Source organism: Homo sapiens, chromosome 9 (genome assembly GCF_000001405.40).
Source record: "Homo sapiens chromosome 9, GRCh38.p14 Primary Assembly".
In the NCBI taxonomy this organism is placed as follows: Eukaryota; Metazoa; Chordata; class Mammalia; order Primates; family Hominidae; genus Homo; species Homo sapiens.
The window spans coordinates 23,725,086-23,741,181 of NC_000009.12; the positions used below are offsets into that span (position 1 = coordinate 23,725,086).

General features: G+C 38.4%; 1 protein-coding gene across 59 annotated transcripts in view; it reads right to left on the reverse strand.

Moving 5' to 3' along the window:
• ELAVL2 (ELAV like RNA binding protein 2) overlaps positions 1-16,096 on the reverse strand; it is a 160,498-nt gene that overhangs the window by 34,982 nt on the left and 109,420 nt on the right. For 58 of the 59 annotated variants that reach the window (XM_047422916.1, NM_001385694.1, NM_001351466.2 and 55 more), the window contains one exon: positions 5,937-6,040. In XM_047422916.1, the coding sequence (XP_047278872.1) occupies positions 5,937-6,040 (104 nt within the window). Of the gene's footprint in view, positions 1-5,936; positions 6,041-9,217; positions 9,338-16,096 lie in introns of those variants that run through there. The other variant, XM_017014426.2, reaches the window with a different exon arrangement.

The window sequence follows — 16,096 nt, forward strand, 5'->3', positions numbered from 1 at the left end:
AAAACACTAGGGTGGGTTGAAATGCTGAGAAAGATGTGGCGTTTAAATACAAAACAAACCTTCCTCTCCGAATAAATACTCAAGGTCAATCCCAACACTACTCTGCTCAAAACCCTCCGGTGCCCCTTCCTCACCTAGAGAACAAAACATCAGCGCCTTCACATACATGCGCACCCAGAACACACTTCTATAACGCATAACTCAGGCTCATTTCCCACACTCGCCTCCCATCCTGCTTTCTTTTTGGGCAAATTCTATATGGTTCCCCTATCAACTGCTTTAAAACTTCCATGCCCTACTAAAGTCATGAACTCCCAGCATTATGGCTATTAGAGCCACTCGTCTCAAACACAGAACTGTGCTGCAGGTATTTTAACAGAGGACCTACTGGGTGGCAAGCCCTTAGCGTAGCTTTACTTACATTCCTGCCTGCATACCCTCTCCTCCTTCTTTACAGTGGGGGCTGGTTTACACAGCATCTAAGAATATTTCCTTCTGGCCAGTATTAACTTTTATAAAAGAACAAATTATAATGATAAAGAAAAACCAACCCAATCCCAATAATCCTGTCGCAAAAGGAGGTTGAACTAGAAACTCAAATCCCCATATAAAGTTTACAGTGGCTATTAAACTTTCAAGAGTGAAAGAAGAAGGCAATTAAAATTATTCTCTCTTCAGGAGAGGTTGCTGCTTTTCATCAAATCATTTTATGCAATAAACATGAATTTGTTTAAAAAGTTAACATTTCTTCTTAATATGCAACTTAGCAGACCATGAAAAGCTTTTTTTCCTCTCCTAAAAAGCAGGTAATGAAAATTCTCAGTGATGAATAAATTATTTTAACGATATAAATGGAAACTTAAATGGTTAAAAGCTCTGTCCAAGATTAAGCAGCCAGTTAAATCATTTTAGTAAGGTAATTTAGACAGAGTAAGATTTCAGAAATGTAGTTCTATATTCCTATGTTAAGGGTCAAGCTCATGCTGAACAGAAAAAAAAAAGTATAAATATGACATTTACTAATGAGGAAAGGATAAGCTAGTTAGAAAAAGGTATAAATTTAACAAAAAGTTAATGGCAATACAGTAGCTTAGAATACAGGTTTCTTAGGTTTGCTTAATCACTCTCAAACTGAACACAAAAAATAGATAATACTATTTATAATATTCTCATTTTTATAATAGAATTTTCCAAATGTGGTTAAATTGTGGTTTATTTCAGTATAAGAAATTTCATGATTGTATACCAATTAATAACTTTTAAGCAAAGGTAAATTTTAGCCTGGTCTATAGCTGAATGATTAAGGAAAATATTTCTTTAATCAAGACCAAAATCGGGCAGTTTTTCTATGGTAGTTAATTCTAGACAGAATTTTTTTTTCTTTTGAGGGGTCAGAACTTACCAATAACAATAAAACATTCTATTCCCTGAGATAACAGCTCCTTCTTTCCAGATAAATCAACCCCAGTTTCAGGAAAAATAAAGCATCCTAGGCCCATTGTAGAGGAGGGAAAAGCTGAGAGAGATGCTGGGAGCCACGTATCCATTTCACTGTGTTATGTGATAATCACCTATCCAGAGTTCTTTATGCAGAGGAGGGAGGAAGTCTACACATATTCTTGGAAATGAATGATTTTAGTTTGCTAATCATGAATTTAAGTCTGACACCGTTAACCTAACAAGTCAAAAGTATTGGCTTTAAGCCATAAAAATTCCACATACTATTTAGATTTTTTTCAATACTTAAGACCCCTAAAAATAAAATGAGTAGAGAAAGAGCATGAAGACTGAACACAGTAGGTACAACCACTCACTTCATGAATAACTCACCAAAGGAAGGATTCCTTTAGGGACCTGAAGGATCTTGGAGAAAAACCTCTCTTCTTCTCACCAGCATACAACTTGACACTTCCATGAGATTACTCCCCCACCCCCATGCCTGAACTGTACACATATCACCTTTTCACTACCTTCCCTAATGAGAATCTTAAAACATTTTTGTAATATTCACACTTTATTTACCATGTCAACACTGGGGATACTGTGGGCAGGCTTAACCCAAAATAGCTGCCTCCCATGCAGTACAGGGATGATGTCATTTCACCAGCAAGGTATGCCTCTGGGACATCTCCTTAACCAGGAAAAAAAGTGACCTTTAGGACAAGAGAACAAGTATCTCGAGACTTTAACCTGTATCTGCTACTACTTAAACAAACAGCATCCTACTATGAGACGGATACGTTGTTTTCAATTTCTATGCCATGTTTTTTTATAAGCAAAGGCTGGTGAACCACGTTGAACTCTGAATGCTAAACGATCGCCCAGCATGCTCAAGAAAAAACATTAATATTTTGGTTAACAGAATGAACCACAGGAGGATTATTAAGGTAAAATGCTAGAAGACAAACTGAACTTTGCACACACAAATACCAAATGTATAGAGAACCGCCAAACATCTTTGGTGATTCCCAAGTGCTAGGCCTTAGACTTGCTGTCATAAATTACCTGGGAAGCATAATAAAAAACAGAACCCGGAATCTCACCTGTGGACAGGGATCGAGTAGATCTACAGTGGATCCCAGAAACTGTATTTCTAACTCACTTCCCTTGGGATTAAGATGCAACCAAAGTTTGGGAACAAATGCTTTAGGTCCTCACAGAGCCTGAGGGACTTCACTTCACTCACCATGGAAATACTGAACATCTGTCATTTATTCAACACACCAACTACTGCACAAAACCCTACTGAGCTAATGCTATTAGGGAGCCCCAGGAGAAACTGCTAAATAAACCACCTTTCACAGCACTTGATTCACTGTTTCAATATCCCAATAACCAGGAATTTTACCAAACGCATACTAAATTCTAAGTGGCTTGGAGTACACAAACACTTGTATATACTAACCAATCTTCTGTACCTTTCTAAAGTAAAGCACAGTGTCCTGGCAAGAGTTTTGATATAACGATCAGAAGACAAGGATTTGTTTGAGTCGCAGCTCTTTCTTCAACTGCCTGGTCTTGGCTAAATTGTATGACCACCAAGATCTCCACTCTGACTGTGGACAGAGAACAGTGCTTAAGCCTAAATTACATATGGGTCCCCCTGTAATTCCAAAACTTCTGTGGTTCCTCAAGGGTAAAGAATATAGACTTCAAAGAAGGGGGAACTCAGCAGGAGCTGGAACAACCTGGAAAGACAGAAGCTGAAGGACAGAATTCCTTTAGATGGGCTCCAAAAGATGAGATGACCACAGTTAAACTAAAAATGAGTGTGAAAGGGTATACCAAAAAGTCGGAGCTGCAAAAGCATATGCATGGACGCTGGGAGTAAGATCAGCTTACAAGTAAAGAGCCAGTCTGAGAACAGTGGAGAACGGCAATAGCACTGGCATCACTCCTACAAAACTCAGCCAGATGATAGGGTAAAACAGTAGAGAAACACCATAGAGTTTTGAGTGAGCAGTAACACGAGTAAAGTGGTGCTGTGTAAGAAAGTGGTGCTGACAGCCATCACCAGTATAGATTAGACGAGGGAAAAAGACTTATTTATGGAATAGTATCCCAGGAAATGAAAAGGCTTAACTCAACTTCCAAAACATTCTTAAAGCTGTGAATACTAGAAAAACTTGGCTCAAGACATTGTACAAGAGCACAAAATCTGTCTAATGGAAATAAATAAACATAGAAAGAACAAACAGGCAAAGGGGGTGCTATATACTTGTGGGAAATGGTCTGCTTTGCCTCTTAGACAAATGTGGGCCAAATTGAGGATGCCAGCTGTTATCTGATATTTTTACAGGAACCAAATAGGGGCGGGGAAAGAAGTAGCCTGCTATTTGCCCATTACCCTGACCCACATCTCAGAAAATCAGAAACTGATGTCACACTATAAAAGCCACAAAGCTTTACTGTGCTTTCTTCCACATATTCAGCCCAAGCAGCTGGGCCCTAAAGAGAAAAGGCTGGATGATGAACAGTAAGGAAGCAGCTGTCATCAACTGTCTCCTTGAAGGCCACGGGCATTTCTCCTGTGGAGACCTATTTCCCCTGCATTTCTACCTTCTTCTGGATCTTCGTGCAGGAGGATATTTAGTAAAAGAACTGACACACTAGAATGAAATAAGGGTAATTATTTCTAGAATGGAGAAAAGGATAGTTCCTGGGACAAGCCATCTTGACCACCTATTCCATTTTCTTCCCAACTACAACTCAGGACCTCAGAACTAGGACAAATTAGCAGCAACGCTGGAAATCAATATAAATTGAGGAAAAGAAACCTGCAAAAATCTGCTGTAGGATAAAGAGCACACGGTCTGACGGTAACTGAACACTGGATGTCTTTTTAAAGAACACTTATTGTTACTTAATAGTACTAGTAAAAGATCTCTGACACAGAAAGTATGCAGAGAAATATAGATAACGAGAAAAAGCAGTTCAGACTGAAAAAACTTCAAAACAAACTTGTCTTACACTTTATTGGAAATCTCATTTTTCCCTTCACATTTTGATAATATACAGTAACCAGTTCATTTTCTGATTGGTGAATCTTTTCATAGAACAGTTTCTTGCTCAAGAAGTATCTAGAATTCTTGGACCTCTCATACCCTAGTATATTTGGGAACCACTATATACTTTCATTTAGATAAGACAGGGCTGGTAGGCATTTTTCTTAGGGGCCAATAAATATAAAGACTGATGTGTCAAAACCACTCAGGGCTAATAAATTACCTTAACTGGTAATTCTAAGAAAAGCAACTTTAAAGCACAAAAATGACACTTCATTTCCAGATACCTGAAAAAAATGAGCAAAAATCTTTTACACAAGTCTCTAAGCAAGATGGATACTACAGTCAGCCTTGACTAACTTCCCCTCACCACTTCAGGCTATAGTCTGAGCTGGTTTCTTAAATCAAGGGTGGAAAATAGGTTCAAACTTGAGTCAATTGATAGAAGTTGTCTGGAACACTATTTTGAAAAAAATATTTGGGAGCCACATCTAGACTCTGTGAGAAAGAGTGCCATGATTGACTGGCAATGTCTGCACTGGGCAGGAGAGGGCAAATTGATGGTACAGCTAACTAAGAATTTGCTAGAGGCGACATCCCTCTTATTTTCTAAAGGAAAAGAAATCTATGCTGTGAATTAGATTAGCTCCCTCTCAAGAGAGAATCTACATAAGAATTTCAAAGATTCACAAAAGCAGCAAAGTATGTACAAAGTTATTTACTGTACGTCTTAAAAAGAAAAACAACAGAAAAAATAACCTGTGTCATGTAAGTTCCTCCAGTCAGTCTCCTCAAAGCAAGCTGAATTAGCTAGAGCAAACTACAACTCAAGCACCACATCTAGCCTGCCACCTTTTTGTATAACCCATGAGCTAAGAATGGTTTTTACATTTTTTAACTTGGAAAAAATAAAAAGAATATTTGTAATACATAAACATCTTATCAATCTCAAGTTTCATTGCCCATAAATAAAGTTTTATTGGATAACGGCTGCATCCATTTGTTTATGTAGTGGCTATTACTGCTTTCATACTATAAAGGCAGAGTTGAGAAGTTGTGACAGAATGCATGGCTCGCAAAACCTTGCTTATTCACTACCCAGACCTTTATAGAAGAACAAGTCTAAGGTTTCCTCAAGTTATAGGGCAAGTAATTCTCTATAAGGGAAGGAGACTTGATTCCGTAGGCTTCCTATAACATTTATCTAAGAGAGTTGTTGCTCTGTCCCCCTTTGCGAATACATGAATGATTATACATAGCACTCTTGAACAAACAGTTTCTTCCATCTTGCAACAAACACCAAAATTCCACTATGTCTCCCAGGTAACTGTTTATATGGGCCCAAAAGGAAGAAAGGAAAGAACTACAAATAAATCTTAATTTTTTTAAACTTCTGTTCCGCAAGTAGATATAAAAAAACTTTAAACATACTTTTATTGTTTTGGTTTGAAGTCTCAATCCATTCAGGGTGTTGATAGCTTTCTCTGCATCCTTGGGGTCAATGTAGTTCACAAAGCCATATCCCAAGCTCTGCCCTAATGAAAAGGAAGGGGAAAAAGGCATATATTAGTTCTATACTGTTGACAGAGATCAACTTTCATTTTGGCATATGGTCTTGTCATTAACACCAGCATATTTCCTCAACAGTAAAAAGAACTCTCTATTAATTCTAGAAATATACATGAAGTCTTTATGTCTCCTGTCTACTACATTTTCAAGTTTTAGAACTCAGCAAGCAGTGCTGTTTAGGAAAAAAAAAACACACATCCCCAAAGGATTCCACCATCCATGCCCTGCCTGAGCCAGAGTATACCATCAGCAAGACAAGGTCAGCTTCATAAACTGTGGGGATAAATCTCTGTGCTATGGAGAGGGCTTAACAGGCAATACCTTTTCAGCTTCAGTTTCCTTAGCCATAAAAATGGGAAGACAGAAAACATCAACCAAGAATCTGTCAGTGTTCAGTAAATTGTACCCTGACATATTTACAGCCTTTACCAAGTACAATAATGTCGGAGTCTAAAATGGTGAAGAACCATGTGTGGGCGTGTATACATGTAAGTTTATTTTAGACGAGGGCTTATCTTCAAATACACTCAATCAAATTTCTCCAAAGAGGGTTTTATGATCTAGATAAGAACAGGAAAATATGAACACAAAAGACTTACAGGGATGACATCGAAGACAATGAGAACATATAGGAAAAGAAGAAATAGAACATAAACAAAAATAACAGGAGAAAAAAAGTCTAGAGTAAAAGTTGCTTCTAAGTGTTTGTTGTTGTTGCCACCCTCCCCCCATCATCTGAGCCCTCTCACTCCTGGTTCACTGATGCCCTAGATCTCAGACAATGGGAGCTATCAAAAGCAGTTGCATCAATGGAATGCAAAGATAACTAAAGTCAATCGCAATGGTCTCAACTTTTCAATGAAGCAAGTTTCTCAGTTTGAAATGGCAAGAAACATTATACAGGTGACAAAAATGGCATAAGAAAAGTTTAGTCTACAAAAGTCAAAACAAACTAAATGACGATTTCCCAGATGCCCAAGGACGGTCCAAATGCTTTTACTAAGTACTACTGTTGCATCAATTTCATAGGGAAGTGAGGTATTTTTTCTTGATGGGGCACCGTAGGTGCAAGTGGTTATCAATGTGGGTTTTTAGGACAGCTACTCTGGTTATCCTAATGTGGATACTTGTTACCACATAAACGAAAAGAGAAGGCTAAATACAGTGCCCAATATGAAAACTAGTGATTATATTTTGGGACCACAATCAGAATTTTGGATAATCACTGCTAATATATGTCCTCTATCAAAATGTATTTTTTCCTTTTTAAAAAAGAGAAAGGAATAGAGAGCTAAAAACTAATTAGGTTAATTTCATCTCACACTAAAATTGAGGTTTTATTTTACAGTTCTAGTAAAGAGTCACATGTGAAGCCACTGTATTTTTAAGCATTCAGCTTTTCATTAATTCAAAATTTATCATGTGTTTACTGCATGCATTGTGCCCCTCTTATGAAAATGTGTTGCAGTCCTATTGTCATTGAGTAGAATTAAATTGGCTGAATGTAACAAAATCTGCTCAAGGAACCAGCTTATAGTGGAAAGACAGACTTCCAATACCGGCTCTGGTGTTTACTGGCTCGCAGTTAGCTGTGCAACTTTGAAGAAGCTACTTAACACCTCTCTGAACCACAGCTTCCTTCTCTCTAAAACGAGGGTAATTCCTACCCAACTAGGTTGCTGATGCAATGATGAAAATATTCATTAATGATGAAAGTGGATCGTCACCCTAGTCAAAAGATAACATGAGAAAAAATAACATGCTTACTGTTAAAGATTTTAAGTATATTCATTTAAAGTTAAATAAAAAAGATGCCACAAATATAACAGAAAAAGAAAAGGGCAATACAAATATAGTTTTGTCATACTGCTATTCTATGACAAAATAAATCAATTGTATCAGCATAGTCTAATTGCCCTTTCTACTGATAGATACTCCTCCTCCTGCATCTTAGCAGCTTCTAACCCCAGTGCATTCTCAAACTTGACTGCAATGGAATCATCTAGAAAGCTTAAAAAAAAAAAAAAAAAAAACTAAAACAAAAAAACCTGATCCCCGAATCCCACTCCCAAAAATAGATAGATATATATACATATATGTGTGTTTGTGTCTGTATATATATGTGTATATGAGATGAGATCTCACTACATTGGCTGGGCCATGCTTGAACTCCTGGACTCAAGCGATCCTCCCACCTTGGGCTCTGATTTTATCAGTCTGTCATGAAGCATTGGTACTAGCTTTTTAAAATCCTGGTGACTAACGTACAACCACCATGTTGAGAAATCACTGCCTTAATGGTGAGAACCTAGCTGGGGCTACAACGGGGCTGCTGGGAGGTCTAAGAAAGGTCTTGCAGGGATGACTGCTGTTTCACAGTTGCGTTGTTTAGGTACACGTGGATGTGTTTCTTCTAAAATCTTCAAGTTACCTATTACTTCAAAGAAACAGTTTATTGGCCTCCTGAGGTCTGTCTGGGGCACAAGAGTGCCTACTGAGATTAGATCACTGGGTAAAGTGAAAAGCCTGTCTTGCTTACTTCCTACTTAGCTGTTTCCCACTCTAGCCTCTGAACCCTTACTCCTGGCCTGCTGTAGGCATGGAAACATTTGCTAAATGAAAGAATGAGAAACTTACTGATGTTATTTATTTAACCAAAGGTATTATCATCATCACCACCACCACCATCAGAAGACCCAACCATCAAATGGGTCTTCCACCTGATACCCTCAAGCAATCATGACTAGCTATATGAGTCAGTCAAATATCTAGTATCTGTTAAGTTGTTTATACTCAGAAATATTTATCCCCAAATGACTTTGCCTCCTTATAAAAAGTTTCTTATTTGCCTAGTGGCATTATTAGGATGAGTGCCACTCAGAATATGTTTGAGGTAAGCAAAACTGTATTATTATCCTAAGCAAAATAATATGAAAGGGGGTATCTGCTATTAAAAGACTGCATTCCTAAACCTACCATCGTTGGTGTATTAAAATGTTGGCACTATAACAAAAGGGAGTTAGAACTTTAAATTACTTTACAGTGAAAATCTGTAATCAAGGCAGCAAATATTTATTGGATGTTTAAAATATATTAAGGGTATCGCAGATGATACCAAGATAGGCAAGCCTCCCCATTCTCACCTTTTAGCTACATGGTATTTTACTGTTTAATTGTAGCTTCACATTAACCATGTTCGGTATTCAGATTCTTCTCCTACAAGGTAGAAATGATATCTGAAGCTTGGCAAGGTCAATCAGCTTCTACAAATCAAAAAGGCAGGGAGGAAGTAGTAAAGTCAGGACTTGAAGTCAGGACTTTCAAATGCTGTGCTCTACTCCACTCAATTAACTAGTTTATACCTGAACTGAGACTTCAGGCATATTGCGTATAAGCCCAGGACTAGTTTGTACCCAATATGCCTGAATAATAACGTAACCAGGCACTTCTGACACTTTTACCGCAAAAGTTGTTTCTTGTTTGATTACTATCTCAAACTTCTGTACCTTTTATACAAATATCAGTTTTACTATATATGAATTTCAGTGCCATTATTCATTCCTATGACAACATAAATTGCATCTTATTTATATAGTGCATATTTCTGGTTATAAATGAGCGCACAGTTTTTAAAAATAAAAGCAGTAGCAAGGCAAACATTACAAAAAAAAATACCTTACCTACCCTTTTCCCACTCTTATATTCATCAGTAAGTCATGGGCCACCAGGGAAGGCTTGGAAACCAAGCATCACTTATCCATATCATCCAAACCTATTTTTCAAGTCTCTCTGAATTTAGAATGTGCATACTGATAATCCCCAAACTAAGATTCATTTCTTTAAAAAGTTTTATAAGATGCTACATTTAAATTCCAAGTACAACCATTATGGAAACCAACATGATTAAAAGACTATTCTGACCAAAATGACAAAGCTAAGGCTCTTCAAAAAAAAAAAAAAAAAAAAAAGCCCTTAAGAAAAACAAATCCTGTCTTTAAATGCCAAAAAATTTGCCTGGTAACTGAACATAAAGAAGAGGCTCAATGCCACGTGTCCTCAGCTATTCTCAGAAGCTACCTGTGGTCAAGTGTTCTAAGAATTTTCAAACCATTAATTCAAATCTTTCTTCTTTTGAGGCAAGGTCTCTCTCTCTGTCATCCAGACTGGATGGCAGTGGGCATGATCTCGGATCACTGCAACTTCCACCTCCTGGGTTCAAGCGATTCTTCTGCCTCGGCCTCCCAAGTAGCTGGGATTACAGGCATGCATCACCACACCCAGCTATTTTTTTGTATTTTTAGTAGAGACAGGGTTTCGCCACGTTGGCCAGGCTCGTCTCGAACTCCTGGCTTCAACTGATCTGCCAACCTCGGCCTCCCAATGTGCTGGGATTACAGGCGTGAGCCACCGTACCTGGCCCAAAGTCTTGATTTTAATGGCCTTGGTAGGGATTCTAGAACTTTTGCTATATTCTGTGCTGCACTGTTGTGTATGAATGCCTTTTGTTTCACACGCTTCTTTTTAATCTAACATACATGCCACAGAAAAGAAACCCTTCTTCACAAGAGATAGAAAAATAGTTTATAAGATGCTCCTGGCACAAGGAGAACAGTTATAAACAGGCTGGTAGAAATCATGGTCAAGGGATCTATACCACAGAGCTGAAGCACTCCAGAGGCCTCTGAAGAGGACCAAAGACTACTGAGAGCAGGGTTCAGAGCAAGGAGAGGAAAACAGGAAGAAAACCCGTTTAGTGGCAAAGTGCTACTGTGGGAAACACAGTAAATGGCAATATATCCCAAACTGTGTGTAATTCAAAGCATCAGCTATTCCCCTGCCACCTACATTGTTTTAATACCCTACTTTAATTAAAATTTTAATTGCATATTTTAATTAAAAATACACAATCTTCTGGACCTGTTTCATTCAAAGGTCACTTTATTTAGTCTTTTCTATTTTAAATTACTACCAATGTTCAGAAAAATCAAATTACCCCCTCAGGTTTAAAGGTAAAGGCAATAGACTACCGTAATTCTTGATTAAAAGTATATTAACTTTATCCAACCAATATTAAACAAGACCCTCAACACAAAATTGTGGAAAATAAAATTTTGTATTTAAAAAAAACAAGAGTCACCCTACAAATTTCTCATCTACAATAAGCATTCAATAACTATGGGAACCATACTTTTTGCTAGGCCCTGAGAATGCAAAGGAGAAAAAGATCTTTCTCATAAAGCCTATATTCTGACAGGAACACATTCTACAGGGTATTAGAAGAAAATAGAGCTAAGGAGAAAAAAGCAGCAGGGGGTGAGAGTGGGGAGGGGAGGAGCAGGGCTGCTGTTTAAATACAATGGTCAGAGCAGGCCCTATCCTGCAGGTAACATTTGATCCAAGGCTTGAAGGAACTAGCTCAAGTCTAACAGTGAAGATGTGCAAGACGTTCCAGCCCAAGTTCTGCCACACCCGCATCACGTTCTGCCAGTCCTACCAGCTAAATCGGCCCCTTGTCTGCGTTAGCATTGGTTCTCTATTATTCTGGCCCTGATCACTGCTACACTATCCTAATAGGACAACCCTTGCTTAGACTCCCATTAATTCCAAAAACAGCCATCCTCCACCAAAACATTGTCCAGGAGAACTTCTTAAAACACAAATCTAACCATACTCTGGTTTCCAGTCACTGTCAGTTTTTTGCTCACTTCTACTTTCGCTCATCTTCCACCACTCCTACACATACACCCTAAAATGCACATTCAGTTCTCTATGTCTGGAACACAGCTCTCCAACTAGCCAACTCCCATGTATCCTTTGAGACTCTCTGAAGTCATTTCCTGCCACAACTTGCCCCATCCCCAGTGCACACTGTACAGTGCTCCTCTCGACTAGTCCTCCCACAGCTTCTTATATTATTCCGTTATCTTTGTTATGTGTGTCTGGGGTCCATTTGGATGCTCCCTCACTAGACTGCTGAGCAAGGGCAAGCAGAACATAGTTCCTGACAAGGAGGACCCTAAGACAGATCATTAAATGTTCTGTGAATGACTGAATGAAAAACAAATGAAGGAGCAGCAGCATCTGCCTTCCAGGAGCCTGTGGTTTAGGAGATAGTTGCCCTTATAAACATGTTCCTCATGTCCCTACATTGTACCAGATGGATTACAGAACTTGTGGAGACAAGATGCTCAAATGTTATAGTAATTCTGCCTTCATAAGGAAGTCATACGAGTTTTAAATAGTTCATGTAAAATTGTTCATACGAAAAATTTCTACAAATACCATTAAGATGAAGTCTCAATTTTAAAAAGTGTCATCTAGAGTAATTTGATAGATTTACATAAATCTGTTCCACAAATCGGTAAGTATGAATTATGGGATGTCAGCATATAATTTTGTTGAAAGTACTTTTTCACTAATATAATTAAGTCTGCTGAGACTATTCATGTACAAGTCAAATAAAATGCAGAGTGAATTCTGTAAAAACCTGGTAGTTGAATCAACAATAAAAGGTGACTACACTGATTGATGTGTATCTATTATTCCATTTACAGCAGTAGTAATGTTTTATGAAATAAAAGAATAAAAGCCGTGTGAATCTTTTTCAAATCCCACAGTTAGCAGAAACAGGTCACTATGGTCCTCTCTGTCAAGGAAGACTTGCAACCTGAGGTTTAATAATGCAATACTTTTAAAAAGCAAAATGGAAAGATTCGCTTCCTCCAAACACAGCTCTTGCATAAAACTGCATGCCTTAACGACAAAAAAAAGCAAATAATTTGATTTGCAAAAACAAGTTTTCGTTACAAAGGGGGAAAATTTTTGTTTTTAATAAAGACCCTGTTGCCTCCTGATATCCTTCTCTCTCCTCCCTCAAACACACAATAAAGTTGCAAATATATTGTATTTCTTCAGATGGACTTACTGTTCTTGGGCACTCATTATGTGTGTCTGTTCAGACAGGCTGTGCACTGCAACTCTGGCACCAAAGCAACTCGCACCAGACTTCACAAAGGAGCTTTCTTAATATCTCAGATCTGATACACAGCAAAACCATGTGGGTACCACACAGCAGGGAAAAGGTTTGAGAGAATCTCAGAACAGAGGGATGCAGTTCTCTCTAGTCACGTTTTTCTCCACATTTTAATTCCTGACTTAGCCTGAGTCTCCTCAAATGTAGCATGCCAGATGCAGCAGGTCCTTCCATTTAAACACTCAAGTTAAGGTGGGTCAAGTTAAACAGGTCTTCCTTGCTGCCCTCTAATGAGTAAGATCAAATTGTGAGATGGAGGACTGGTGAGATCCTATTACTACAGTCCAAGCCAGCCTTCCTGAAAGCTGGGAGCATTTCTACCAGCTTCCCAAAGGACATTACCAGGGATTATCACAAGGATGGAGAATTCAACCTAGACACTCACATAATACAGAAAACAGATGGCTCACTCGAAGACTCATCTTCCACCCAAATGCTAATAAAGCTGGCCTGAGACTGAAAGGCCCCAAAGTTTCTAAATGATTTTCAGGACTTTACAGATACATGGAGCTAATATAGAAGAGTTTAAATCATAACTTTTCTGCTGAAATCAAAGCTGCAAATAGTGATCATTTGGTAAATATTACCTAAGCAGCCTAATTCTAGAGAGAGCGGTTAATGTCCTCAGCACCAGGGCATTTTCCCTTCAAGTTAATTTTAATAGCCATATCTGTCCCCTGATTATGCAACTGGTAGAGCTCTATTTTCCTGTAGTTCCAGTCCCAGTAATTATGAATCTGCTGGCAATGCGGCATGACCCTGCTTAAGTTGGCGATACTGTGGGTTCTTAATATATCACATTTTCAGACAACATTAAGAACTCCCACACAATTCAGTCTTAGACTATTGAGAACAGAAACAGCATATTAAATCCTCTAAATTCTTGCCAAGTATTACACCGGGTACACAAAGATATCTTGCATCCAAGACCAGGAAGATGAGGAAAAATTATGTGCAGTAGGAAAATAAACCAATTCCTCTACAACCCACAGGATGAGACTCTACCTGAAAGCAGGTTCTCCAGCCTGAAAGAAAGTGACTGAGATAGTGTAGCACGCTCAGCACCACAATGAAAACAAAAGGCGGTTCTCATCACTTATTGATATAGGTAGTTTCTCTAAAAGATAGGTCAGCAGTTCTACCTTCAAACACTGGAGCTGCCACCAGGATAGAGCAAATGCCAAAATACCTTCAGATAGCCTGAAAGTCATACCTGACAGTTCAAAAAAGGTTAGGACATTAACAACTCTAGGCTAGTCCAATCTACTTTCAATTAAAAGTTTGGGTATGCTGCAACTTTCTCATTTCTTTGTTAATTATAATTAATTCTACACAGATCCGCCACCGCCCCTACCCCCACCCCCACACACACTAACAGTCTTATATTATCTGCTTTATCTTGTGTTTACTTAAAAGACAATGGAGTTGTTCAAGTATATACCATTTGGGATGAAGGCAAAGGAACTGTATTCCTCAAAATAGTATTGTGGTAGAGGAAAACAAGTTAACTGTGGTAGTAAAAAGGGCATCTGCTGTTGCTTGTGCGACCAGCTGGTGTCAATCTTCACAAACATGCACTCTTGCCTGTGCCTGCACACACACACGCACACACCCCCCCCACTAAGCAGTCCATCAAGAGGCAGTACAGCTTCTTAATGTGTTTTTCTCTCTGTACAAGATCATTTTTTAACTCAGATACCACAAGAAACAAAAAATTTAAAGGCCCTGTTTTGAAACTATGTCAGAGTCCCTGCAAACCACCATGGAGAGCTCCCCATTTTGTCAAGAACGGGAAACTATAAAATTAGACTCTAACAAACTCACCAAGTCCATGTGAAACAAAAATTCTCGTTAGAGATAAATTTTCTTCTTGAACACATTTTTCTTAAAAAAATCACTCTCTCACCCAAAAGTTAAAGGTTCACCAGCCCAAACCTTCCAGTATGAAAAAGTCAGTAAGTTTGTCGGGGAAAAATGCCCATTCCCACTGCCCCATAAATGCTATGTCTACCTGTCTGGCAGTCAACAGTACCACTGCCAAACTAAACTATCAAGCAACTAGGATCCTTACATTACATATATCACATTTAATTCTCACCACAAGGCTACATGTAAATACATCTGTATCCATTTTACGGACATAAAGTTGGAGGTTCAAAGATGCTAAGTTAACTTGCTCAAGGGCACACACAGCTAGCTCAAAGGAGCAGCTGGGTTTCCACACTACAATCAACCTTTCCAAACTCAGTCTTTCAAAAGTGTACACTTTGTTGCCTTTGGCCATGTGTGGAAATTACTTTGTGGCAGAATCCTGTACATCCAAAGTTTACAACTTTCCAATCAGAATATTTATAATCTCCAAATACATCTGTATTTTTTTCTTGTTCTTTGTCATGAAATAAATTGACTGGAACTTCAATTCTTTCTTAATCCATCCAAGAGACTATCTGTGAAAGAAAAAAAAAATGACCTGAAAGAAAAGGAAGGACATCCTGCAGGTGCACAAACCACTTAAGCCCCCAAAACAAATCCATCATTACAAAACAGATAGATGAGAGGTATCTGCATTATAAAAAGATCCATTTAAAATGGGCCTTGATTTACATACTCCTTTTCCAAACTCAGAAAGCAGTTCTTATGGCTAAAGCCAAACATGTTTGCTACTGCCAAAACGGTCTCCCACACAAGACATTTCTCTCCTCAGCAGATTGCATTAAAATGCTTTCATACGCATAGCATGATTTCATAGCGGTGGAAAAAAGATGGGATCAATACCACATGGTCTCTGCCCTCTAAGATGCTCAAAAATTTTAAGCCCAACACAGTAAACAAGGGAGAGAGGCAGGCACCTAATGAACATGAAATACATAAAGTGCATCGCAGGGGTTTCAGGCTTAACCAGGACCAGCTTGAAAAAGAGAACTCTTTAGTGTGTCAAAACAGAGAAGATGAAATTCAGGTGTTTCCTGACAAACAAATTAAGGTAATA